A 25691-nucleotide genomic window follows, 5' to 3' on the forward strand; every position below is an offset into this window, starting at 1 on the left:
CCATGAGAAATACCTGGACACTGGGGCATTGAGGGGTGGGGAGGGGCGCTGAAGGGCTGGCACATGGGGGAAGACGGCTGTCATTCTCCTGTCTGGTGTGTGATAGGGCCATGGAGTGGGGGCTGGGCATCGGAGAGGCACGGCCTCCTGCTTTCCAGCTGGCAGAAGGTGGACAGGGACGGTGGCCAGCACAGACGAGGGGCAGGTGGAGAAGGCGGGCGCAGCAAAGTGGACAGATTGTGGCCCATGTCTCTAATACATGGAAGGGAAAGGAGGGACACATGGACACTTCCAAGCTGGAGGTCTCTTCTCAAGGGCTGGGACTTGTGTGTCCAGAAAGCCTCCTGCTCTGTCCTAGAACTGCAGTGCAGGGATGCGTTTGCCTTGCAGGTCCCACTGGGGGCCCAGAGAAGCACGCACAGCCTGAAGGCCCTGGGAGCGGCTGCTGGGCCCAGGACAAGGCTTTCGTGAGGATGTCAGGCCTGCTTTCCAGGGCCAACTGCCAGCTCCACAGTGGTACCTCTTGCACCCTGTGATTTGCATGCCTTAGGAAACGCCCTGCCCTCTACTGTACTTGTGGAAACTGCTTTCAGGGGACATTAAAGGTGGCAGAGGACTCAAGGGCATGAGGCTGTAGCACACTCCCCTGGATGAGTCCCAGCTGCCCTGGGACTTGGGAACTGCAGTGCCTTGCCCCAGGGTCACCAGCTGTCAGGTGCAACACTGGGACCTCTAGACCTCCAACTCCAGGCTCCTCTGTGGCTCTTCCAAGTTGTCCTGCCCAGAACACTGAGGGGCCACTGCCCACCTCCTGATTGCTCTTGCCCTAGGCACCAGGCCCTTGCTTGTGCAGCTGTGTGTGAGTGAGCATGTGTGTGTGATCATGCGAGTGAGCAAGTGTGTGTGTGACTGTGTGTGCGCATGAGCGTGCATAAGTGTATGAGCATGTGTGTGTGCATGTGTGAGAGTGCATGTGAGTGTGTGTGAGCATTGTGAGTGTACGTGTGAGTGTGCTTGACTGCATGAGTGTGCATGTGTGAGCATGTGTGTGCATGTGTGTGCATGTGAGTGTGCATAAGTGTAAGCGTGTGTGTGAGCATTGTGAGTGTACTTGTGTGAGTGTCCAGGACTGCATGAGTGTGCATAAGTGTGTGAGCATGTGTGTGCATGTGCGTAAACATGCATGTGAGCATGCATAAGTGTGTGAGCTGTGTGTGCACGTGTGCATGTATGTGAGCATGCATGTGTGTGAGCATGTGCGAGTGTACGTGTGTGAGTGTGCATAACTGCATGAGCTTGCATGAGGGTGTGTGAGTGTGTGTGAGCGAGCTCAGTCGCCAGCTGAGCAGCATCTGCAGTCACCTGTTTGGGTCCTGGAAGGGGTCACATGCCTAGGTCCTTGTTGGCTTCACCTGCCTGGTGGATAGTCCTGGTGTGGATGGGTCTTCTTCTTGGGTCCCTAAGCTATTGTGCCACTTCTTGGGCGCTTGGTCCTCAGCTCTTGCCCGTGCTTTGCTCTGCTCTGCCATGCTGGGCTGGGCCGGGCCCTGCAAACCCTGTCTCTCCTTAGCCAGCTGCTCCGGGAGGCCGTGCCGAGAAAACTCACCCCGCCTATCTTGGCTTCTCTGAGCCTCTCCCCAGGAGCTCCTCTTGGCCGAGTTTAAGCCTCGGGAAGGCTGAGCTGCCGCTGTGTCCCCACTCTGTTGGAAGGAGACCTTGTTGCCCTGAGAATCCCGGGGCCAAGGACGGGACTCAGCAGGGAATTTTCTCCCCAGGAGCCAGGTGGGCATCTGCAGGTGTTTGCCTGCAGGGACTTGGCTAAAAGGAGCCATTGAGAGGTTGGGTTAATTGGCATCTTCCCACCCACCCGTAGGAGTTTTCTGGAGTGGGGTGCTCTGTAGGAGGTCATGACGCTCATTTTCCCCTTGTTAATGCATCGCTGACTTAGCCTACCTGGGGAATGTGGGGTTGGCCCACTGTTTCCCAGCCATACCTGGGAATGTCTCGATCTGTGCCTTTCTGCCCTCGGATCCCAGTGCTTCTGCTCCTCCCCCTCCTGCCAATTGTGTGGGCACCCGACGCCTGTCTCCCCGCTGCCAGGAGAGGCTGATGCAGGTGGAGACAAGGCAGAGACAGGAGGAGGCCCCGAGTTTACAGCAGGTCAACAGCCCTGGGCAGTTACAGTCAGTCGATTGTGCCCACAGGTGCCATGCAGAAACCTACCTGCAGTTCCGCCCTGAGTCCAGATGAGACTGCAGGAGCCTTCCTGGGAGAGGCGCTCATTTACCCAGAGGCTCTAGAATGGGGAGCAGGTTGCCTCAAACAGGCTGATGGGAGTGACTGGGCAGTGGGCACCAGGGGAGCCTGAGGAGGGAAGGGACACCTCTACCCTTGTGGGGCCATCTGAGTTGCCACATCACACAGACCCTGAGCATAGAGGGCAGTCCTGGGAGGTGTAGGGAGCTGGCAATTAGGCTACATCCATCCCTGCCTTCAGCGCTCCGGAGCAGCTGGGGCCTCTCCTCATGCTAATTACAGGAATGTTAGCCCCAGCTACGGGGTGCCAGCACCCAGCAGGCCCTCTTCGTCCTGTGGCTACAGCTGCCTCCACCCTGGTGCAGCTTCAGGAGGGAGAAGGTGAGTGAGGGAGGAGTGGCGTCCATGCTGGCCAGAGCGCCGGAGTCCTGCCCACTATGTGGGCCATCAGGTGACAAGATCCTGCCAGCACCGGCGTGCGTGTGGACCGGCCATTTGCACCTTTGTGGTGCCTGGTGTGGATGACTTCATGGACCACTGCCTGGGTCCCAGATGGGGTAACCTGCCTGGGTCTGGAGGAGGTCACTTGTCTGAGACCTGGATGGGGCCACCTGAGTCTGGATGCAGCCTCCAGCCTGGGCCTGGGTGGGGTTACTTGTTTGGGTCCTGGAAGGGGTCATATGCCTAGGTCCTTGTTGGGTTCACCTGCCTGGTGGACAGCCCTGGTGTGGAAGGGTCTTCTTCCTGGGTCCCTAAGCTACCGTGACTCTGCTGCCTGTTCTATGATGGGTGCTCTTCCAGCTGGCTCCAGGGAATCCTCCTCACCCTGGGGTGAGAGCTGAGCATTTGACCTCACAAACTGAGCCCTGCAAAAGGCCTCTCAGACATGGGGGCCACACCCCTGCAGGGGCACTCCCGTCCGCTCCTCTGGGTCAACTGTTCACCCAGAGGGCAGCACTGTGCCCAGGACTCAGGGACTGGGTGAATCTGCCCCTGTAGGTGACAGTAAATTGCAGACGAGCCCGCAAGCCTGTTCCGGAGCCTGAGCAAAGAGGAACAGTTGTGTTTAAAGAAAGACTCGGCCTGTCGGAGGGGCGGTGCTCAGCTTGGGAATGAGGAATGTGAAGAGCCCGCCTGCGGCTAGTGTGGGGAGGGTGCTCTTGGAGACGGGCCCTCCAGCACCTCTTCCCCAGGGAACACGGAGGCACTTGCTCATCTCTTGGCAGGCTCAGGGCCCACAGCTGAGATCAGGGCTGTGCAGACCCGGACACAAGCCCGTGAGGACAACACAGCCCCACTGCGACCCCCATCAGCTGGGCGGACATCAGAAGACAGTAATGCAGCTCCCTGCGATGTGGCCTGCCCGTGAGGTAAGGGAGGTCTCAGGGACACCTGGCTCCACCACAGCGATGGGAAGCTTCTCCATGGAAGTGACTCCCATCTGAAGTCCCACCCATGGTCTGCTGTAATTCTGCGCCCACATCAGCACCATGGCCTTCCAAGCCTGTACGTCAGTCTCCTGAGTTTGGCTGATGAGGCTGACCTGAAAGACAGGGCCTGGCTCTCAATCTGTGGGAAGAGGTCCAGCCTCTGAACCTGCAGGATTGAGCCCTTGGGTGTCGAGGCCTTGCTATGGTCAAGCATGTGATGAACATGCCCAGAGTAGCAGGGGTGGCAGGCCCCAGGGTACAGCTGCTGGTGTTCAGGCATAGCGGGTGGCCAAGGCCTGCCTTGCCCTGTGGGGATCCCACGGCCTCTGATGGTCAGCACTCCCTGTGCAGCAAGCAGCTGGCCCACACCAGCCCTCCTCTGTCAGCCCCTTGGCTGGCCGGCCTGGCCTCCCCATCCTGCAGTGAGAAGGTGGAGGCCGCGTGGCCCCAGGTGTGCGCCAAGGCTGAGATTCCCAGTCCTCTCTGCCTCCCCGTGCATCCAGGGCTGGAGCCATGATGCAGGCTGAACCCCGAGGGAAGTGCCCACCCCGTCTGGCTCAGTGCCCTCTGCAGTTCGTGAGGGCTCAGGACATTGTCTGACCATGGTGCTTGTTTTACCAGGCACAGGTCTGAGATAGACAGCAGAGGAGCACACACGGCCGGAGGGCATAAGCCAGCAAGGAAGTTTTCTTGCTTCATTTTACCCGGGCCTAACGAGCCGTCTGCCACTCACGAACAAAAGCCCAGGGTTCCCAGACAGGCTCGCACCTGCTGGGAGGGCCAGGCCCTGTGCAGGGCAGAGTGCTTCTGTGCCGAGCCCTGAGGGGCCCACTGTGCTTCTGGAGGGGAGGTTATGGGGAGCCAGCACCCGACAGGCCATCCTCATCCTCTGGCTGCCTGAGCCCCTGGCCAGGGCACCCACTTCTCACAGAGAGCAACCTCCACCCGGGTGCAGCATCAGGTGGGTGTCGGGTGAGTGAGGAGAGAGTGCAGCCGGGCCAGAGCGGCAGAGTCCTGTCTGCCATGTGGGTCACCAGGTGACAGGGTCCTGCTAGCACCTGCGTGTATGTGGTCCAGCCGTTTATCTCGGGTGAGCTCACCTCCACCCACACCCTCACCCCTGGGCTCCTTGCACCTGCCCTTTCTTGTTGTTCAGTGGCTGCCTCAGTGATGGGCCGCTGGTGCTTCCCGGGCACCTCGCAGATGTCCATTCATCTGACCCCTAGGACAACCCACACTCTCATTACCCAGTTCTACAAATAGGCAGCTGGGGCTCAGAGCAGCCGAGGCCCTCCCCACCTCAGGCTGCTCACCTGTGGAACAGGCTCACAGCACTGGCCTCAGAGGGCCACTCAGAGCAATGGCAAGCAGGAGCACTCCACAGCCTTGCGGGCAGCACTGCAGCTCCACGTCTGCCTGAGCATCCTGGCGTCTGGGATTAAAAGGGCTGAAGAGCCTGCCTGTTTGAGACTCCTCCCCGAGATGCCCCCACCCTGTGATTTTCAAGGGCAATGAGTGGAGGGGCACCTTGGCTTTGCAGGACGCCCAGCTGGGCACAAACGCAAAGGAGCCAGGTGTCCAGTGGGCCTCCCGTCTTCCTGGCTGCTTCGCAGAAGGGAGCCAACAGGCAGTGACTGCTTTAGCATCCAACTCTGCCCTGGGCCTTTGAGTTCAGCACCAGCAAGTCCAGCTCTCCTCCTCCTCGCGGCGTAGCTCTGGCGGCGCTCCATCAATGCTGGTGGAAAGAGTCCCAGGAGGATGACTGGGGCTGAGGTCGGCCATCACGGGCCTGCTCCCTGTGCACAGGCAGGGACAGTTGTCCGAGAGGCGCTGGGCTGTCTCTGCCGAGCCCCGGCCCCAGCACGCGCTCTCCCGGCTGGAACTGTTACTACGCAGGAGGGGAACATGCGTGTGTGTGGAGGGGGACCTGTGAGCGGAGGATGTAGAGAGACAGCTGAGAACTGTGAGACAGCGCCAGTCCCCAAGGCCCCAGTGGCTGTGTGGAGGTCAGAGGTGCTGCCGTGTGGTCCCGTCTCATGGAGACAGTGGCCGTGCTCCTGACCCCAGGCCAGTGCCTGCAGCCCCTTCCTTCCTTGCCTGCCTGATCACACAAGCATTAGCAAGATGATTCTGCTCCTGTCTTGAAAAGTGTTCTTTCAGCACGGACCTCCGTCTGTTACGTTCAGAAACGACATGACTCTCATCACCCATGAAACGACGGGGCTCTCATCACCCATGAAACGACGTGGCTCTCATCACCCATGAAACGATGGGACTCTCATCACCCATGAAACGCGATCATTACTGGGCAGTTTTCTCCCCTCTCCAGCACAGACCCAGCCACGGGCCAGGAGGTTGATCAGGCTCAGAGGTTTGATCTAATCTCACAGGGGCAGTCTGGGGCTGGCGTTCAGGTGCCATCGGGCATGGGGCTGAGGTGTGAAGCAGCTTGTGAATTCACTGGCTGAAACCAGTTCTGCCCAGACCTTCTCACCAGATCAAGACCTTCCTGCGATTTTCATTTTGTCACACTCAGCATCAGTTTTTCAAACTCTTGGGTCCTTAATGTTCCTAATGCCCTGCCTGACAACTGCCTGACACCTGCCCATGGAACGTTCCCTTATGTTGAGAAAAAGGTCGGAGAACCGCCAACGCGGCCGGGAGACCAGGCCAGGTGGGTCGGGCCCCTGGAGCTCTGGGTGGGCTCAGCCTCCTGCAGGACCTGGGGCCTGCTGTGGGTGGGGGAAGCTCCAGCCAGCTCCGAGGGTCCCCTGGGGGCTGCGGGGTCTAACCTGAGGGCGGGGCTGTCTGAATCCCAGGGGAAGCCTGTCGGGATCCCAGGGCACCTTCGGTCCTTCGTACGTGGGGAAACCTGGCCTCTCACAAGCGCTTCCCCTGCTGCTAGGACCTGAGGAGCACCGGGTGGGGCAGAGGGAGGCGGGGTGGGGCCACCTCCTTTCCAGTCCTACCTTTGAGCTGTGTGACTTTGAACAGCAGCTCAGCCCTTTGGGACAGTCCTGCTCGTGGGGTGGGGTTGAAGGAGATCAGGCCAGTGGGTATTTGGAGACACACCCTGTCCCAGGGCCTTCTGGCAGAGAGGTTGGTGAGGCCGTGGGCAGGGAGGTGCTACCTGAGGAGGAGGACGGGTCCAACTCCTAGCCCCAAAGCCTCAGGCAGGCACTGCCACAGGTGAGCATAGGCCCTGCCAGGCTGGTCAGCTCTGAGCCATGTGCCAGAGGCCAGGGCAGCCCTCGGGGTGGCAAGGGAAAGGGGTTCTCAGCTGGGGTGCCCTGGCTCAGGGGTTCCACCCTGACCCGCTGACACTCCGCTTCCCGGGGTCCTTGGGGATGAGAACTTCCCTGCCTGGGATCATTGCTGCTGGCGTTGGAAGGGACCGTGTCATTAAAGCTCTTTCTTGATCCCTGGGTGAGGTAGAAAGAAATCTGGGGGCCTGGGGCGAGGCTGGATTTACAGGGTGGTGTGCCGGGCTCACTCTGGAGCTTCCTCCAGTGGTGCAGGAAGCCGAGGTGCAGGAGGCAGGCTTGGAGGGCTGCTGGTGTGGATGGGACCCCAAGCTGATGGAGAAGGTGGGTGGTTAGCCCTGACTGCGGCTCTCCAAACAGACTGAGACCAGCCCCAGCCCCTTCAGCCCTCTACCCTGGACATCACATGGGCTTCCTGCTTCTCCATTTCCCCAGCATCAAATGGAGGCCGTGAGTTTACCCAGTGGGCTTCAGAGGCGTCCACGGGAAGAAAGCTGTGACCACCACTGGAGGAAGCAGCACTGCAGCCACGACCGTGTGCTCCTCACAGGCTCTGCACCTTCTCCAACTGCTGTGTGACCTTGGGGAGTTCCCCTGACGTCTCTGTGCGGTACTGCAGCCACGACCGTGTGCTCCTCACAGGCTCTGCACCTTCTCCAACTGCTGTGTGACCTTGGGGAGTTCCCCTGACCTCTCTGTGCGGTACTGCAGCCACGACCGTGTGCTCCTCACAGGCTCTGCACCTTCTCCAACTGCTGTGTGACCTTGGGGAGTTCCCCTGAACTTGACCTCTCTGTGCGGTACTGCAGCCACGACTGTGTGCTCCTCATGGGGCTCTGCACCTTCTCCAACCGCTGTGTGACCTTGGGGAGTTCCCCTGACCTCTCTGTGCGGTACTGCAGCCACGACTGTGTGCTCCTCATGGGGCTCTGCACCTTCTCCAACAGCTGTTAGGGAGTTCAGAACTGCAACAGAACTTGGGGAGTTCCCCTGCCCTCTCTGTGCGGAGGCTTCTTTGTCTGCACAAGGGGAATAATACTATGGTCCATGAGATATTGTGTGTAAAGCCTCGGCACCACACCTGGGGCTTCATCTGTGCTCAAAAAGTTAGATATTGTCGTTTTACTTATGCTGATAATTATGTCTCTTTTCTCCCACATCTGTCTACCTCACATCTGGTCCTGCCCGACGGTCTTATCGCTTCATCGATGGTAGGTTCTGGATTCCCCATTGCTCCCCCTGGCCCTGCTCCAGCCTCTGCGGGTCTCTCTGCTTCCCGGCTGGGTGACCTCTCCTGCTTTGTTTCTGCTGGTCTCTGCAGCCAGGCTCCCAGCCCCTGTCCTATCTTCCTGAGTCCTGCCCTTCCTCAAGGGTCTCATTGCCTTTCCTAATTGTATCCTCATCCCAACAGGATCACCACCCACCCCTGGATGTCCACAGTCATTGTCCTGCCCGCCCTGGACACTGCCTGCTTTGCATTGCGATCATGACACCCAAGATGTGGCTCCCACAGAGTCCCATGGGATTCGTCCTTGATTCATTCCTGAGCTTTTCCCACCATGGGGTTTGGGGGAGCATCTGCTGGTGAAGCCAGGAAGCAGGGAGACGACGGAGGAACAGTGGAACAAGAAGAGGGAAGCTTGGGCCTGGAGGGTGTGTGGGCCTTCATCTCAGCCCCAGAGTGCATCTTGTGGGTCGTGGAGGGCGTTGGGGTCCTGTTTGGGTTTAAGTAGACCAATCACCAGGTGCCCGCCTGTTTACATTCCAATGTGCGGTGCATTCACTCAGACCTCGGCCAGGCTCCTGGTGGCCACTGGGAGCGCACTCCTGGCTCCAGTGGGCCTTCCAGACCCCAGGGCTGAGCAGTGACCCCCTGTGCCCTCCAGAGCGCTGACTCTTCTGTGCCAAGGCTGCTGGGAAGGAAGGACCCAGGGTACGGGTAAGGTGTGACCCCCATATGCCAAACGTGTTTCCCTACAGAGAAGACTACAGCAGAGTTTGGAGGAGGGTTGTGGTCATGAGACAGACGGGAAGGGCTCACACTCAGAAACATGCAATCAGGCAGGGCAGAGATGCGGGCAGCAGGACTGGCCACTGGCCCCAATAGGTGCTGGTGAGCTGGGCAGACACTCGAGGTCTTCTTCCCACCCTCCTTCCTCCCCTCCACCTCCCACCCTCCACCTCCCACCCTCCACCTCCCACCTCCCACCCTCCCACTCCACCCCCAACCCTCCTTCCTCCCCTCCACCTCTCACCTTTCACCTCCCACCCTCCACCTACAACCTCACCCTCCCACCCTCCACCTGCCACCTTCCTTCCTCCCTCCACCCTCCACCCTCTCCTTCCTCCACCTTCTACCTTCAACCTTCCTTCCTATCCTCCACCTTCACCCTCTACCATCCTTGCTGCCCTCCAGCCTCCTCCCTGCCAGGCCAGTGAGGCACCCATCCTGCCTCCTTGGACCCACAGGGAATTCTCCAGAGCCTCTCCAGAGCACGGACCTGGAGGGATACAAGCCGGCTCCTGCAAGGGGACACACACAGGTTTCCCTCCTCAAGTTCTCCCATGCTGGGTGGCTTCCTAAAGGCATGGGCTCTGACCCCAAGAGTCCTTGGGTGATGCCTGAGCCTCATGCTGGGCACAGCTGTGAACCACCGGGGTGGCAGGGGTGGTCACGTTGGCAATGCCTCCTGTGCTCCTCCACCCCTCCTGAAGCGGGTGAGAGTGCTCCCTGCTCTCAGGACCTCTGACCAGCATGGGGCAAAACCCAGAGCTCCACCTGGGGACCCTGTGTTTCCCCGGCACCCTCGAGGCTTGGGAGCCCCCAGCACTGAGCTCTCTCATTCCCACTCCCCAGTCAAAAGAAGGAAGAAGGATTCATGCTCGGGAACCCTGCAGCCTGGGAGGGTGGGGAGGGACACTGGCCTCACCTGGCAGACCTGCAGCAGAAGGACACTCAAGTCCAGGGCCCTGGAACAGGAAACGGAGGAGTCCAGGCCCCTGGAATAGTGAACGGGGTGTCCAGACCCCTGGAATAGTGAGTGGGGGTGTCCAGGGCCGACCACTAGTGAGTGGAGTTCAGGCCCCTGGAATACTGAGTAGAGGAGTCCAGGGGTCTGGATTGGTGAACTGAGGAGTCCACGGCCCCTGGAATAGTGAACGCAGGAGTTCAGGGCCCTGGAATAGTGAGTAGAGGAGTTCAGGACCCTGGAATATTGAGTGGAGGGGTTAAGGGCCCTGGAATAGCGAGTGGAGGGGTTCAGGGCCCTGGAATAGTGAGTGGAGGAGTCCAGGGCCCTGGAATAGGGAGTGGAGGGGCTCAGGGCCCTGGAATAGGGAGTGGAGGAGTTCAGGACCCTGGAATAGTGAGTGGAGGGGTTCAGGACCCTGGAATAGTGAGTGGAGGGGTTCAGGACCCTGGAATAGTGAGTGGAGGGGTTCAGGGCCTTGGAACACTGAATGGAGGAGTTCAGGGCCCTGGAATAGGGAGTGGAGGAGTTCAGAGCCCTGGAATAGGGAGTGGAGGAGTCCAGGGCCCTGGAATAGGGAGTGGAGGGGCTCAGGGCCCTGGAATAGTGAGTGGAGGGGTTCAGGACCCTGGAATAGTGAGTGGAGGGGTTCAGGACCCTGGAATAGTGAGTGGAGGGGTTCAGGACCCTGGAATAGTGAGTGGAGGGGTTCAGGACCCTGGAATAGTGAATGGAGGAGTCCAGGACCCTGGAATAGTGAGTGGAGGGGTTCAGGGCCTTGGAACACTGAATGGAGGAGTTCAGGGCCCTGGAATAGGGAGTGGAGGAGTTCAGAGCCCTGGAATAGGGAGTGGAGGGGTTCAGGACCCTGGAATAGTGAACGGGGCAGTCCAGCTCTACAGCAGGTCTGGTCCCTCCAATCCATGTCCTTAGCCCCAATCCTCACAGAGACTCATGCTGGCCCACAGACAGCAAACACGGATGGAGAGAAGGCAGTGTCCAGGCCCCGTGTCAATGGCTGGAGTGTGCTAATTCACAAAAAGCTTCAGCCCATCCCTTCTCTAAGCGCCTAATCTCTACCAGTGGAGCAAAAAGTTTAAAAAACAGCCTATCTTCTCCCCAACTCAACTCCCAGCCAAAGCTCAGGCCTCAAGGAAGGGGACCCCATTCCACACTACACCTCTGGGGGAAAGGGAAGGGTGGCTCCTGCTTTAGCTCTTATGGAACTGCTGTGTGACTTTGGCCAAGTCACTGCCCCCTCTCTGATGCTTAGTTTCTCCCTTGGTGGCGGCTGAGGCTGAATGAAGGCAGCAACACGTCATGTTGTATTAGCCCATTCTCATGCTGCCATAAAGACATACCCCAGACTGGGTAATTTATACAGGAAAGAGGTTTAATTGACTCACAGTTCTACAGGGCTGGGGAGGCCTCAGGAAATTTACAATCATGGCAGAAGGGGAAGCAAACATGTCCTTCTTCACATGGTGGCAGGAAGGAGAAGTGCTGAGCAAAACGGGAAAAAGCCCTTTATGAAACCATTAGATCTCGTGAGAACTCACTCACTATCATGAGGACAACATGGGGGAAACCGCCCCCATGACCCAATCACCTCCTACCAGGTCCCTCCCTTGACAGGTGGGGATTACAATTTGAGATGAGATTTGGGTGGGAACACGGAGCCAAACCATACAGATGCAGATAGTATTGGAAACACAGTGGCCTCTGGGAAGCCCTGTCCTAGGTCCCTGGTGAGCCATGGGGGCGGGTCAGGCCTGGTCCTGTCACCCACAGGTGACCGAGCCAGTGAAGTGAAGAGCCCAGGGTGCAGAGTGAAGGCCAGAAACAGTCTGGGAAGCTGTCATCGGCTCTTGCTTCATCGGTGTGGGCCTTTCCTGGCAAGCAGGAAACTGGAAGGATGATATTCATCTCTAGTAAAAGGCTCATTTGCATGTGTGGCAGAGGCGGTGGGGTGAGGGGGCTGGGGGGCCCACTGTCTTGCCAGTGCACACCTAGGGCCACCCCTCTGCTGAGCCTTCTCTGGAGTCTTGGGAGTGGGCATGCCAGGTTGTGGCACCCACTTTACCGATGAGGAGACTGAGGCTGGTTGGGGGATGACTCCATTGTGAGGGGTGAAACTGGCCCCCCATGGGTAGCCGCAGTCTGCCAGGGCCTCCCCCAGGATCCCCAGCCACCTCCCCTATGCAGGAGCATGCAGAGGCTGGGGTCAGGTTTGGCTTGCCCTGGAGCACAGGAAATGCCCCATTTACACATGGACCGGAGGCCAGTGTCTTTCGCACCAGGATCCCGGCCCCCAGGCTCAGAACTTGAATATCTGGGCCATGCTCTCCAGGAGTCTCTCTGAGAACCAGGCCAAAGTAGCTGCTTATGGTCTAGGATACACCTAAAATAGGAGTGGGGGCGGCCTGAGAGGTGAATTTCCCTGGGCTGGTGCATGGGCTGGGCTTGTCCTGGAGCCTCCAGTGCCGGCACTCATACAGGGCCCCCTGCCGGGGCCAGGAGAAAGCCGTTGCTGTGTGTAGCCTGGAGAGTGCGTCGTCACGTGACAGATGCTTGTAGCCACCCGGGACCTGCGAAAAGCCTGCAGCTGGTGATGCTCCCCTCCCACCAAGGGGTGCAGAGCTGGAGGATTGCTCATAAATTGTTCCTGCCCTGTCCAATAAATAAAATATGCCTTCTGGGGCGCAGTAGCGGGGCGCAGCAGCGGGGCGCAGTAGCGGTGGAATTACAATGCGGAGCCTGAGCCTCGCTCCCTCCAGCTGCACAGTTCGAGCTGCAGGCAGCCGGCACGGGTGGGGGTTCTGGAGGCCTTGCAGGTCCACCCACCCCAGCAAGGCCCTGAAGACAGCTGCTCCTGTGGGTGAACACCAAGACCCCTGGGCACTCAGCATCGAGTCTGGGCCCTGCTTGCCAACTGCCTCTTTAATGCCAGTGCTGCCTTGCAGTGACAGCCAGCTCCCAACTGGGAGCAGACGGCTTCCATGGAACCCACCGACTCTGCCGAGGCCAGCAGCGTGGGTCGACTCTAGAGAGAAGCAAAAGGCTGGCCAGCACAGCCTCTGGATTGCCTTCTGACCTCAGGGGCACTGTCGGCAGGGACGGGCCGGGGGCAGGGCCCCTCTGGGCTGGTGGCCAAGTGTGACCAGGCAGCATGGGGCAGGATGGCTGAGCCTGGGTGGGTCGCGTCATGGGAGCTGTGCAGGCGAGGACTTCTCTCGGAGAATGAGGACTGGGAGGGTTCTCTGGGCATCCCTGATGCTATGGTCCTGGGACCATCACTCCAGGTTCACCCTAGAATTTGCCTTGGAGATGCAAGAGGATGTCTGCAGGCACAGACCGGCAGGAGGAGCCTGGCTCCCCTCTCTGAAGATGCCAGTGCATGAACAGAGGGACCAGGAGCACCCCTGCGGGTCCCAGAGCCCGGAGCTGGCTCCAAGGAGGAGACTCCAGAGGGGCCAGCCCTGGTGGGCAGCGGGCTGTGGTCTCTGCCCGTGGTCTGTCACCTGGGTCCCCACTGGGCAGTGCAGCGAGGAGGCCGCAGCCCAGACCACTGGGAGAGCCTGGAGTCCCGGCTGCCCCTGGGCCTGAGCCCTGCTCTCTCCACCCCGGGCTGCGTCTCCTTGGTGAGGTCGCGTGGAGGCAGTGATGTCTGTCGGTACCCCAAGGCCTGTGTGGAGGCAGCAAAGTGTCTGGGGGACGGACTGGTTTCCCGGCTTTGCTCAAGCTCCGATGCCCACGGGAGGAGGGTAGGAGGCAGTCGCTGGTCTCGGTAGGACACGGGATGCCACGCATGGCTGGTTGGCCAATCTGTGTTTGGGTCAACGCGCCCCTGTGTGCTCGGACCTGGAACTGCACCTTTGTCGGGCACCCTGAGATAGGAAGGGCTCACACCCTGACAGGTGCGATCAGTCAGGGCAGGGAGGCGGGCAGCAGGACTGGCCACTGGCCCCGATAGGTGCTGGTGAGCTGGGCAGACACTCGGGGTCTTCCTCCCACCCTCCACCCTGAGGACAAGGCAGGACCCCCAGGAGCCCCCAACCCAACGCCCCCCAACCCAGCGCCTCGCTTCTTCCCTCTCCCCTCCGGCCTCCGGAATGTGGCGCCCAGCGACACAGACAAGCCCATCCTCAAAAGCACCGGGTCTTTCAAGGCAGGAGCTCTGACGTCATCGGAGTCACGTGAACCTGGTTCCTTCACAGGTTCTGAAAAATGGACGCAACAAAACTAGCGGTGGAAAAAGCCTTTGACTCCCGCCCTCAAATTCTTGCCAGTGAAATACCCGGAAAAGGAGACATGGCTTTTCCCTTGCAGGCAAGTCAGGCTCCTGAGTGCTTCTCTCCAGGTCGCAGCAGGGCACGGGGGGCAGGGAGTGGAGCCCGGCACTTCCACAGAGCTGCAGGCCCCGGGGCCCCGCTGCCGCCACCACACAACGACCCCAGGACTCATCACCCCTCCCCGTACCAATGCCCAGCCCATCCCACCTCTGTCAGCCACAGCATGCAGGAGGCTGCAATCCCCTCTTCCTGCCGCACCCCAACCCCAAACCCCAGCCCCAGCCCCAGCCCAGCCCAGCCCCAGCCCAGCCCCAGCCCAGCCCCAGCCCAGCCCCGGCCCCATCCCCAGCCCAGCCCAGCCCCGGCCTAGCCCCGGCCTAGCCCCGGCCTAGCCCCGGCCCAGCCCCAGCCCAGCCCCAGCCCAGCCCCAGCCACAGCCCCGGCCCCATCCCCAGCCCAGCCTAGCCCCGGCCCAGCCCCAGCCCAGCCCCAGCCCAGCCCAGCCCAGCCCCAGCCCAGCCCCAGCCACAGCCCCGGCCCCGTCCCCAGCCCAGCCTAGCCCCGGCCCAGCCCCAGCCCAGCCCCAGCCCCAGCCCAGCCTATCCCCAGCCCAGCCCCGGCCCCATCCCCAGCCCAGCCCCGGCCCCATCCCCAGCCCAGCCCCGGCCCCATCCCCAGCCCAGCCTATCCCCAGCCCAGCCCCGGCCCCATCCCCAGCCCAGCCTATCCCCAGCCCAGCCCCGGCCCCATCCCCAGCCCAGCCCCGGCCCCATCCCCAGCCCAGCCCCAGCCCAGCCCCAGCCCAGCCCCGGCCCCAGCCCCAGCCCAGCCCCGGCCCCAGCCCCAGCCCAGCCTATCCCCAGCCCAGCCCCGGCCCCATCCCCAGCCCCGGCCCCATCCCCAGCCCAGCCCCGGCCCCAGCCCCAGCCCCGGCCCCATCCCCAGCCCAGCCCCGGCCCCATCCCCAGCCCAGCCTATCCCCAGCCCAGCCTATCCCCAGCCCAGCCCCGGCCCCAGCCCCAGCCCCGGCCCCAGCCCCAGCCCCGGCCCCAGCCCCGGCCCCATCCCCGGCCCCGGCCCCATCCCCGGCCCCGGCCCCGGCCCCGGCCCCGGCCCCATCCCCAGCCCAGCCCCAGCCCCATCCCCAGCCCAGCCCCGGCCCAGCCCCAGCCCAGCCCCAGCCACAGCCCAGCCCCGGCCCCAGCCCCGGCCCAGGCCCAGCCCCATCCCTGCCAGCAAGAAAGTTCTGCCCTTCCTCCCTGCGGCCACTGTTGAACAAGGACGCGCAAGTGAATGCACACACGCTCACACATTCACACATGCCCACACACACTCGGGCACAGACACACACATGTGCATGTGCACACTCAGACACACACACAGGCACACGTATATACTTATATACACTCAGCCACACACGCACACAGACATATACACTCACACCCACACTTACACATATTTGTATACACTCACACCCACACTCACACACACACATGTATATACTCACCCACACTCGCACACATACTTGTATACACTCCTACACACAGTTGCATGTGCACACTCGGACACGCTCACATACACTCTGACACACACACTCACAGCCACACACGCTTATATACACATACATCCACACACTCTTATATACACTCACACTTATATACACTCACATCCACACTCACACACATTTACATGTACGTGCACACACGCACACCCACTCACACATACACTCATGCGCACACACTCTTGCACAAACACACAGACAACCCACTCTGGTGCACATAAACCCACACACTCATATGCACGCATTCAATCACTCACATACTCCACACACCCCACTCAGATACACACACACTCACATATGCTTCACACATACACCCTCACACACGCACTCAAACACACACGTAAATACATTCACACACAAATATACACATACACCCTCACATCTAAGAACAGCCAATTTCAGGAACAGTGTCAATTACATCCATATTTAGAATAAATTTCCTAAAGAAAACATAACATAAATGCAATTCTACCACTAGGAAGATGGCTGTTTACCTCATTACACGAAGCAATTTAGCTCCTTGTAGACTAAAACTTTTCTGTTGCAGAATATAATATTGTTAGACCCGTTAAAGTTATTTCCTAAAACAAAGAACCATATGCCACCAAAGGTGACCTTAAGATGCCACTTCCTGAAGGTCAGAAGGACTCCCTGCGGCATCACAATTTGTAGCTGCCAAGTTTTGAGCAACCTCAGGTCTGGCCTCCGCTGTGGGCTGGCGTGCTGGGTCTGACTCCCTCCCACCGCAGGGACCTCCGAGGGCGAGGACCGAATCTCAGCATGTTGTGTCTGCAGCCAAGTGCTAGGCCTGTCACATGGGAAATGCTCTTGGATATTTGTAGAGCAAATGAATTTTATAATTTTCACAACTGTTCTAGCTGAAAGCTCAGTAACTAAGGGTCAAGGAAACTAAAGGACAAAGAGATGAAATGATTTCCAAACAAGAGTGTTAGAAGAGATCATTAAGATATTCTCTATTATCAAAAATGACTGTCTTATAAAACTAAACTCTCCCCTACTTTATAATACGGGAATTCCACCAAAAGACCTGGGCAAGAATGTTCTAGAAGCTGTGTTCATAAAAACCAAACACTAAACATAGTCCAGATACTCCTCCACAGACAGAGGAAGGTGAACATCCTATGGAATACCCATACAACAGGATACTGCTCAGCAACAGAAAGGAACAGATTGCCGACATGCAAAAAAGTGCGTGAATCTCAAAACCATTGTGCCCACTTAAGGAAGCCTCACATCGGAGGGTGCACACTGTATGATCCTGTCATGGGAAGCTCTAGAATAGGTACAGCTAATCTACAATGAATGCAAGCAGAACAGTGTTTGCCTCCGGGGGTCTGGTTTGACCAGGAAGGGGTCTGAGAGAACGTTCTAGAGTGGTGGCAGGTGCTGTGTCTTTAGAGGGGTTTGGATTATGTGGGCACATGGATTGGTTGAAACTCATCGGATGACTAACTTATGGATAGCAGTGAAGACAGGGTTCAGAGAAAAACTTACAGCTGTCCATGTTCTATGCTGAAAAAGAAGAAAGGTCTCAAATCAATATCCTAACTGTACACCTTCAGGAGATAGAGAAAAGTAAACTCAACAAGAGCTTAGCAAAAGGAAGGGGATAATGAAGTGCAGTAGAGAGAAGCAAAGCTGTAGAGAATAAAGCTAAAATTGGTTCTCTGAAAAGATCAAGAAAATTGACAAACCTCTAGCTGGGCTGATGAAGAAAGAAGGAAATCTATTCATCTCATTGAATGCAGAACTTGCAGAAAGGCCCATCACCAACTGTTGAGCTCTAGTTAATTATGCAAAAATACTTGGGGAGAAAGGCACTGATGTCTCCTACTTACTTTGAATGCGTAAAGTAAAAGATGTATTGATGAAAGGCTAGAGACACAGACAGATGGAGTGATCAGTGATGCCCAAGGGGAGAAAGACATGAAGAGACCAGGCGATGGGCTAGGGATGTTCATTGCAAAATGCTTTCACTTTTTCTGTCTATTTGAACACTTCCACCATAGAATGTCTGAAGCGGTGACTGTCAATAGATCACACCACCCACAGCACCTTCACAGCTCTCCAAGGTGCTTTCTGCAATCCAAGAACTGACTTGTGCGGATCTGCACATTCGACACTCACATTTGTGCGTCTACACTGTGGACAAGGCACTGGTCTAGGTGTTGAGCTATGTCAGGAAAGAAAACACAGCCTCCGTGCCATGCAGTGGGGAGAGAGCCCAGGAGTGAGCAATCAAGTAATGTAGCAGCTTGCCTGGTGGGTGCTGTAGAGAAATAGGATGGCTGTTTAGACATCTCAAAGGAGGAGGAGGCTGGTGGACACGTGCTCAGAGCCCTTCCAGGAGGCGTCTTGGGGGTCTCTCCCTATGCTGTAGTGGATGTGGCTGTTACAGAGGAATGACCCCAATTTGGCACTCCAGAAGATAGTAGCATTGTTATGACTGTGGCTGGGAGCGGGGTGCACAAGGAATGTTTCAGGAGCTTTGCTGGAAGACCTGAGGTCTGGTTTTCTCAGTGATGTGGGTGGGCTGTGGGTAGGATGCTGGGGAGGCACACGACCTCTGGCATCTTAGACTTTACTTAGAATCCATGCCCTGGCACTTGCAGGTGAAAGTGGAAGCTGCAGGCCTACTTCAGAGCATGAGGGACAGCCGGGTGGCCGCCTTCATAACAATGTTCCTTCAAAAATCACTGCTTTTCAAAGGAAATGAATTCCACAGAGCCATCTGTCTGACACATGAGGGAAGCGGGCCCTTGGAAATGAAGATGTTCTAAAACCCATGTATGGTGACAGGTGCCACTCGGTAAAGTTACTAAAAATAACACACATGCGCATGCACACACACGCACCTGGAACTGCCTGGGTTCTAATCTGACCTCTTCCACTTTCATAGAATCTCAGTTTCATCAGTTTTATACATGGGAAAGATTTGCCCACAGACAGAGCACCAAGGTGCAGCTGGAGATCCATCCACACACATGGAGCTGGGTGGAGCCTGGACGGGGCAGAAGGTGCCCGACTCTGCCCTGGCCACTGCGTCTCACCCAGATGAGCCCCATGGCCTTATGAGCACACATGTCCCAGCTCCAGGGGAAGGGTACTGGTATTTGGTTGGAAACCTGGGTTGTGTTTTTTCCTGGCAATATTACCTGAGTCGCCTTGGGTCTCGGATTTGTCGTGTGCAGACATAAATGTCTCCCCAAGGGGTTCCTGCAGATGCCATGGAATCCTGCCTGGGAGGCCACATCGCCAGCAGTGCCCTACAGCTGACCGTGGCCCTGCTGGTGGTGGGCACCTTTCAGTGTGTGTGTCCACACTGGATTCTGATAGCAGGAGGCGGGAAAATCCACATCCCGGTCATTAGCAACGGGGTGACCAACCATCCCAGTTTGATCAGTACTAATGGGCCCTCCTAAGATGAGGGAGATTCAGTTTTAAAACCAGGACAGTCCCAGGTACCCTAATTAAGGGTGACCTTTGGACTTTGTAAGGGAGCCAGGAGCTGTGAGCAAAGGTTTCTCTCCGTGCTATGAGCACCATGGATGGTGAAATGAAGCTCTCTGGGATGCAGATGTGGGAGCTGGGGTGTCCTCATGCCACCCCCTTTCTTGGCACTGAGGCTAGCAAACACCAGGACTGAGGAGACTGGTCCCTGCGCCCAGTACTGCCATGCCTTAGGCTGCAGAGGGCCGCTTTCTGCACCTGGACCCTCATTCTGCACGCAGCTTCTGCCCTTCTTCAGTGAGTACCCGGGGAGAAGCCCCTCACCCGGTGGCCTCGCTAAGGCCTCTCTGCTCCCTGAACGCCGGTCCCGGACCATGACCCAGCCTCTGCCCAGCAGCCACTCCCCTCCCCACAGCCTTTGCTCCCAGCAGACCTGCCTGCTCTCTGTGCTGCTGCTCACCACGGCCGCGTGCCATTCCCCTGCCAGGGAGCCTTGGGACGGGACTCCCGTTAGAAGTCTGATGGCAACACGTGTCTGCCTCCCCCAGAGCAGATGAACAGAACCTCCTAGAGAGCAACTTTCAATGCCCCGACCTTCAGCAGAGGATGAAGAGCAGATCTCTCCTCCTGCTCCCGGGAGGGTGGGACGGCAAGGCCCTCCCGGTCCAATGTGACGGCAGGATTAGCCTAGTGGCTGCTGACACTCTGGGCACTGGGCTTACCTGGCCACCAAGACCTAGTGTGGAAAAAAAAAAAACAAGAAAAACAGAAGAACGAGGCTTGGAAGACTGGCTGTGGGTGATGATGTGGAAGCTGGGGGTGGGCGTCGGGGAGAGTCACTTCTCTATGTGTTGTTTTTTCCTTTTCTTGCTGCTTTGGTATTAGATAACATTTTATTTAGGCATATTTTATGTATCCTCAAATTCACCCCTTCCAAGTATACAGCTCAGTGATTTTTGGTAACTACCGTGGTGGAGCTGTCACCCTAAACCGGTTTGAGGACATCCCCCCCAGTCAGCCCCCTCCCTCCCGTTCTTAGCTATCCCCAACCCTACACCCAGCCCCGGCAGTCTTCAATCTACTTCTCTGCCCAAATACCTGCCTTTTCCAGACCTTTCATATATATGGAATCATAGGCTATGCAGCCCACTGGGTCCAGCCTCTTTCACCTGCGTTTCTCATGACTGGAGCCCCCACTGATTGGCTGCAGCCCACTGGGTCTGGCCGCCCCCCAGGTGATGGGCATTTGTATGGCTCCTTGTCATGGGCTGGCATCAGTAACGCTGCGAGGAAGTCTCAGCGTGGATCTAAGTTTCCATTTCTCTTGGGTAGAATCTCTACTTCTATAGTATGAAAATTTCACATGTAAAGTTCAAGAAATAGGGTTTGTAAACCAAAGAGTATCTGAGACAGGTCTCAATTAATTTAGAAAGTTTATTTTGCCAAGGTTAAGGGCACGCACCTGTGACACAGCCTCAGGAGGTGCTGACAGCATGCGCCCAAGGTGGTCGAGGCACAGCTTGGTTTTATACATTTTAGGGAGACATGAGGCTTCAATCAATGTATGTAAGATGTACATTGGTTTGGTCCGGAAAGGTGGGACAACTCAAAGCTGGGATGGGGCTTCCGGTCATGGGTAGATAAGAGGCAAATGGTTGCATATTTTTTTTGTTTTTGAGTTTCTGATTAGCCTCTCCAAAGGAGGCCATCAGATATGCCTTTATCTTAGTGGGCAGAGAGATGACTTTGAATAGAAGGGGTTTGCCCTAAGTTCTCAGTTCTCAGCTTGACTTTTCCCTTTGGCTTAGTGATTTGGGGATCCTGGGATGTATTTTCCTCTCACAGGTTTGAGGAGAGAGAAGAACATGCCTCCGGAGGAAGAACGAATGTTCCTCAAACCAAATGGGGGTCAGAGGGAGAGGTGTAAAGTACCACTGAGAAGTTCCTCTGGGAGAAGTTCTTTGCAGGGTGTGTACAGAGCCCCTCTTGGAGTCACATGGAAAGAACTGATGGCAAATGAGAGCGGCATGTCTGACTCTGGCACTGGACCTTGAGATGGCATCATCCATGCACCTGGAGGCCAGGAATTCCTGCAGCGTGATGCCAGTGGGCACAGATGGAAGGAGGCCCAGGGTGGTGACCCCAGGAACAAGAGGAAGCGGGAAATGAGCAGGTAGGCCCCCCAAGCCCCATGTGGATCTCCACGTGCTCACACATGTACCTGCTGTTTCAATCTATTCATTCTTGCCCTATGTTAAATTTCGTATTTATAGGGGATGTGGTCCACAGCCATATTTGTTTATCACTGTACCAATAACTATATTTGACCACATATGGTTTTACATAATATAATACATCAATATATAAGCAAATATAAACAAGCATATATACCCACATATATAATTTATATGTAACTATAGATATATAAAAATGTGTGTATTATATATATGAATGAGTGTACAAGATACATATATATATAATACAGATATATGCATATGCACGGAAACAGATTCAAAGAATATAGTCATCATTTTTCTGGGAAGCAATGATCATATATAAGTTTAATGTAGTCATGTTTATCTATATACCAATATCTGTATCTATCGCTATACAAACATAAATCTGCACACCTGCTGTGTGTCTGGGGATGTCAGGCACAGGCAGTGCTGTCACTTGGGGGCTTGGCAGAGGCTCTCTGGCCTGGGGCTGTGCAGGGGAGCCTGGAGAGAGTCAGGCTGAGGCTGTGGGACTTGTCACAGGACAAGAACACCCAAGGACTGCAGGGTCACTGTCACAAGGCACATCGGAAGCCTCTCTGACTCGGAGAGGACTTGGAGCATCTCTGCCCTCCCGTGAGGCCCATGAGAGACAGCACTGAGAGTCTGGCCGTCTGGAAGCCAGGACCAGCTCTGCCCGGAAGTCGTAGAGCCAGGTCAGCCTCCGCCTTGCTCCCTGCCTGCGCTGCGCCTTTGCGGCAGCAGCAGCTTAGAGGAGGAAAGGTGGCTCCGAGCACCCTCATGGCTCCCGAGCGCCCGAGCCCAGGGACTTGGGGGACAGCATCGGCGCTGAGTCCTCGAGGCTGGCACCACCAGCTTCCACTTTTACCCTCCGCTCTGAAGCCTGTTGGTGGGCACAGGGTCACTTTCCTGTCCGCGGGCTCTTCACAGTCGGCACATTCAGGGCCGACTTTTTAATGACTGTGCTTTTGGCCACAGCAGTGGTAACAGCAGGGAGTATTTATGGAGCCCCCCTGTCCCTGCACTGTTCCAGGGGCCTCCCACACATGAATACACTTGGTCTGCCCATGCCCCAGAAGGCCTGAGGCCCACCCTGGCAGGGGCTCCCAGCCCCAGCTCCCTGTCTCCTTCCCCCTCCATCCCCTTCCATATTGATCAGGTGTGTCCGTCCTCCAGGTGGTCACACTCCTCAGGGCGCTGGCCCATCCCAGCCCCAGAGCTTCAGTCCGATGGGCTCCGTCATCACTCTCCGGCTGATGGGGGATCAGGCGTGGACTTCAGACCCGATTCTGGATGAGGAGATGTGGGCGTGGGGAGGGGCCAGTCAGAGAAGCCCCAGAAGATCTCCTCATTGTTCCAAAGCTTCAGATACGATTGAGTGAGAATAAGAATGATAGCCGCAATGAATCGTAACACCGCCACTGTGTCTACATCCATGAGTTCATAAGAAAACAAAAAGATAATTGGTCAACTTCGGCTGCAGCTGGAGAACCACCTCATTACTCTGAACACGGATAAGTAAAGGATAAAAATGAAGCCTTTACTGACTTCTCTATGCAAACCGTCCCTCAGGGCAGCTAAGTTGGTATGAAAGGGAAGTTTGTTTTGGTGGGAGTGTTCCAGCTGATAAACACAGGAGCAAGCCTAGAGTTAGGATATTGTTGTTTTGCAGTCCCCGAGGAAGCCATGAACCGAGGCAGCTAATCAGCCGCTGCACACATCCCAGAGAAAGCAGGACCCCGCGTGCCTCCAGATGAAAGCCAGCAGCAGGGTCTAAGCGCAGCCTCCCCAAAATACCCGGCGGAGCCTGTCGACAGCTTTCAGGAATTACAGGGGACAGGGAAAAAGGTTGAATGCCACCCTTGGGATGTATTCAGCAAAACTCAGAAAATGAGAAATGATCCAATTTCTTTAACAACCACCACCACAAAAACAAACAAATAAGTAGTAAAACATTTTAAAAGTTAATGTAAAAACAGATGTGGAAGGAGACCTGCAGGCTAAAACGTATACCCCAACCAATCACAATGCACGGCCCTTAACTGCGTCCTGATTCCAATTGTTTTTAAACCTGTAAAACAAAGGATAGACCATCAGGAAAATGTGAACCCCGATACTGAGGAATGAGTGTGCATTTTCCACAGGTGTGGGGGGCGGGTTGGGGCATGAGGAGAGAGGAGAGGAGGGTGGACAGGCGGAGGGAGCACCACCCACATGCCGAGGTGGGGCCTGGCGCCCATTCTCCGGTTCTCTCCACTTTTGTCCATGTTTGAAATTTGCCATCACAAAAAGCTTCTTTTTTGTTTTGTTGTTTGTTTGTCTAATAGGTCTCCTGGGCAGAGAGCCACTTCCCACTTCCTAGGGCATTGTCCCGGCTGGAGCTGCAGCTGTGGTCTTGCTCTAGTTCTAGGATGAAGCAAAGCCACGGGGGAAGGTGAGGTAGGATGGAGAAAGGACTCGGGGTTCCAGTGCACCCCTGAACCGGCACAGCCTCCCGGCCCTCCTGCTGGGAGTTGGGGGATTGCTTCTAATGGACAATGGATGGACTGTGTCTGATGTCACCCCATACACGTGGAACAGGGCAGCTGTCTTGTGTTCCCAGCCTCTGGTAAGCTCCTTGAGGGCACAGACGCTGTCTGGTTCATCTCTGCACCCCTGACAGTGCCCCGCTGGGTGCCTGGCGCGGTGCCCACTGCTTAGTAGACCCTGGAGTTGTTGGGGAGAAGGCGCTTGGGCCATGGTAGCAGCAGGTGGAGGCTGGGCTTGTGTCCAGTGTTCAGGAAACTCGGAAACCTCCAAATGTGTGACCCCGATGGGATTTTGATTTCTTCCCATCTCTTGAGCCTAAGGCACAATTGTTGGGAACCTCCAAAACCCACTGCTTAGGGAAAAGCCCGCATCCAAATTTCTGCTAAGCAGGAGGGGAAGGTGCCGGGGTGGGTGTGGTCTCGCAGTGCCTGTCCCCTGCTGCTCTGGCTTGCTGCCCTCATCCCTGTGGCCGCTTCTTCCCCAGCATCCTCAACAGCACGTGTGCTCACAGCCCGGACCCCGCCCTGATGGTCTGACTGCACGGCTCCCGCGTCCTGACTTCCTCCCACTCTCCCCTTGTGCGGAGCACCTCTGCCCACGCCCAGTGCCCGGTGCTTGCCCACAGCGGAAGCCCCGCCCTGGAGCTCACCACACCCCAGCCCTGACCCTACAGCAGCCCCCACCAGTGAGTTCTGCCATTAGAGTCAGAATGTCTCTTCCCTCTCGTGTGACAGGTTTGCATGCTACTCAGAATTTAGTTCTCCAAGGACCCCTGAATCACAGTCAGGGCCAGGCCCAGAGCAGGCCCAAAGCTGAAGAAGGTGCTCACCCTCAGGGCTCTCAGAGACAAGGGGGAAGAGTCCGGGGGGCTTTTGAGAGGCACCAAGTTCAAGTCTGTGTCGCCCACGCAAGGCTCCTTCTCTCTCCAACCTCTTCACCCCAGGGACTCTGGAATCCTGCCTTCCACACCCCACATGGCTAGAACCACTAGTGCAGGAACATGCAACTCCGCAATCAGCCTGCCTGCCCCTCACCTGCACACACCTCTGCTGCACCTCCACACTCAGCCTACCTGTGCTCACCTGGGCAGCAGCTCCATACTCAGCCTGCCTGCCCCTCACCTGCACGCACCTGCTCCTCACCTGTGCTCACCTGGGCTGGAGTTTAGCCTTTCCTTCTGCAGCCTCTGAGGTGTGGAAAGTCACATTGCTCCTCACAGAGCCCCCAAAACAAGACAGACACAAACCAAAGACAAAAAGCAAATGTTTGGTTTTTAAACTAGCTTAATAATCTGCTCAACTGGCCTCTCCTCTCTGAACTGTGTTGGGGATCCTGGTGGAAGAACTGAGGCCTACCTGCCCTGCAGATGCAGCCACCACGTGGGCTCCCACCCCTGGCCAGAGCCCACCATGAAGAATGTCAGTGTTGCCAATGAAGGCGGGGGGTGGTCCACAGAGGAGGGCTCTGGTCCAGAGCAGAGTCTGGGTGTCCTTGGAGTGCCTGTCCAGGCACGGTGTGGGGGGACAATGTGTGGTCAGGTGGTGGGGGCCGTGCCCCTGACAGGTCTGCACTCAGAGTAAAAATGGTTGCACCAACCAGATGCCACTCAACAAATGGCTCCCAACTGCCCCCAAAGCTCTGAGCCCTGGTTCTGAAAATTTGGCTCTGCCTGGGGGAGGGAAC

At 57.0% G+C, this 25691-nt stretch overlaps 5 annotated features.

Annotated features, from left to right (window-relative positions):
* Positions 228-793: an enhancer, noted in NCBI's record as "H3K4me1 hESC enhancer chr2:240644837-240645402 (GRCh37/hg19 assembly coordinates)". NCBI's record gives its function as "activates a minimal SCP1, AML or CMV promoter by ChIP-STARR-seq in naive H9 embryonic stem cells {active_cell/tissue: H9 hESC(naive)}" and the evidence as "EXISTENCE:reporter gene assay evidence [ECO:0000049][PMID:30033119]".
* Positions 794-1359: an enhancer, noted in NCBI's record as "H3K4me1 hESC enhancer chr2:240645403-240645968 (GRCh37/hg19 assembly coordinates)". NCBI's record gives its function as "activates a minimal SCP1, AML or CMV promoter by ChIP-STARR-seq in naive H9 embryonic stem cells {active_cell/tissue: H9 hESC(naive)}" and the evidence as "EXISTENCE:reporter gene assay evidence [ECO:0000049][PMID:30033119]".
* Positions 23320-24519: an enhancer, noted in NCBI's record as "CDK7 strongly-dependent group 2 enhancer chr2:240667929-240669128 (GRCh37/hg19 assembly coordinates)". NCBI's record gives its function as "activates an origin of replication core promoter dependent on BRD2, BRD4, P300/CBP, MED14 and CDK7 cofactors, with strong dependence on CDK7, by STARR-seq in HCT116 cells {active_cell/tissue: HCT116}" and the evidence as "EXISTENCE:reporter gene assay evidence [ECO:0000049][PMID:35650434]".
* Positions 23320-25142: a biological region, named in NCBI's record as "CDK7 strongly-dependent group 2 enhancer GRCh37_chr2:240667929-240669128".
* Positions 24418-25142: an enhancer, noted in NCBI's record as "H3K4me1 hESC enhancer chr2:240669027-240669751 (GRCh37/hg19 assembly coordinates)". NCBI's record gives its function as "activates a minimal SCP1, AML or CMV promoter by ChIP-STARR-seq in primed H9 embryonic stem cells {active_cell/tissue: H9 hESC(primed)}" and the evidence as "EXISTENCE:reporter gene assay evidence [ECO:0000049][PMID:30033119]".

The sequence above is a fragment of the Homo sapiens genome, chromosome 2 (assembly GCF_000001405.40).
Source record: "Homo sapiens chromosome 2, GRCh38.p14 Primary Assembly".
NCBI classification, from domain to species: domain Eukaryota; kingdom Metazoa; phylum Chordata; class Mammalia; order Primates; family Hominidae; genus Homo; species Homo sapiens.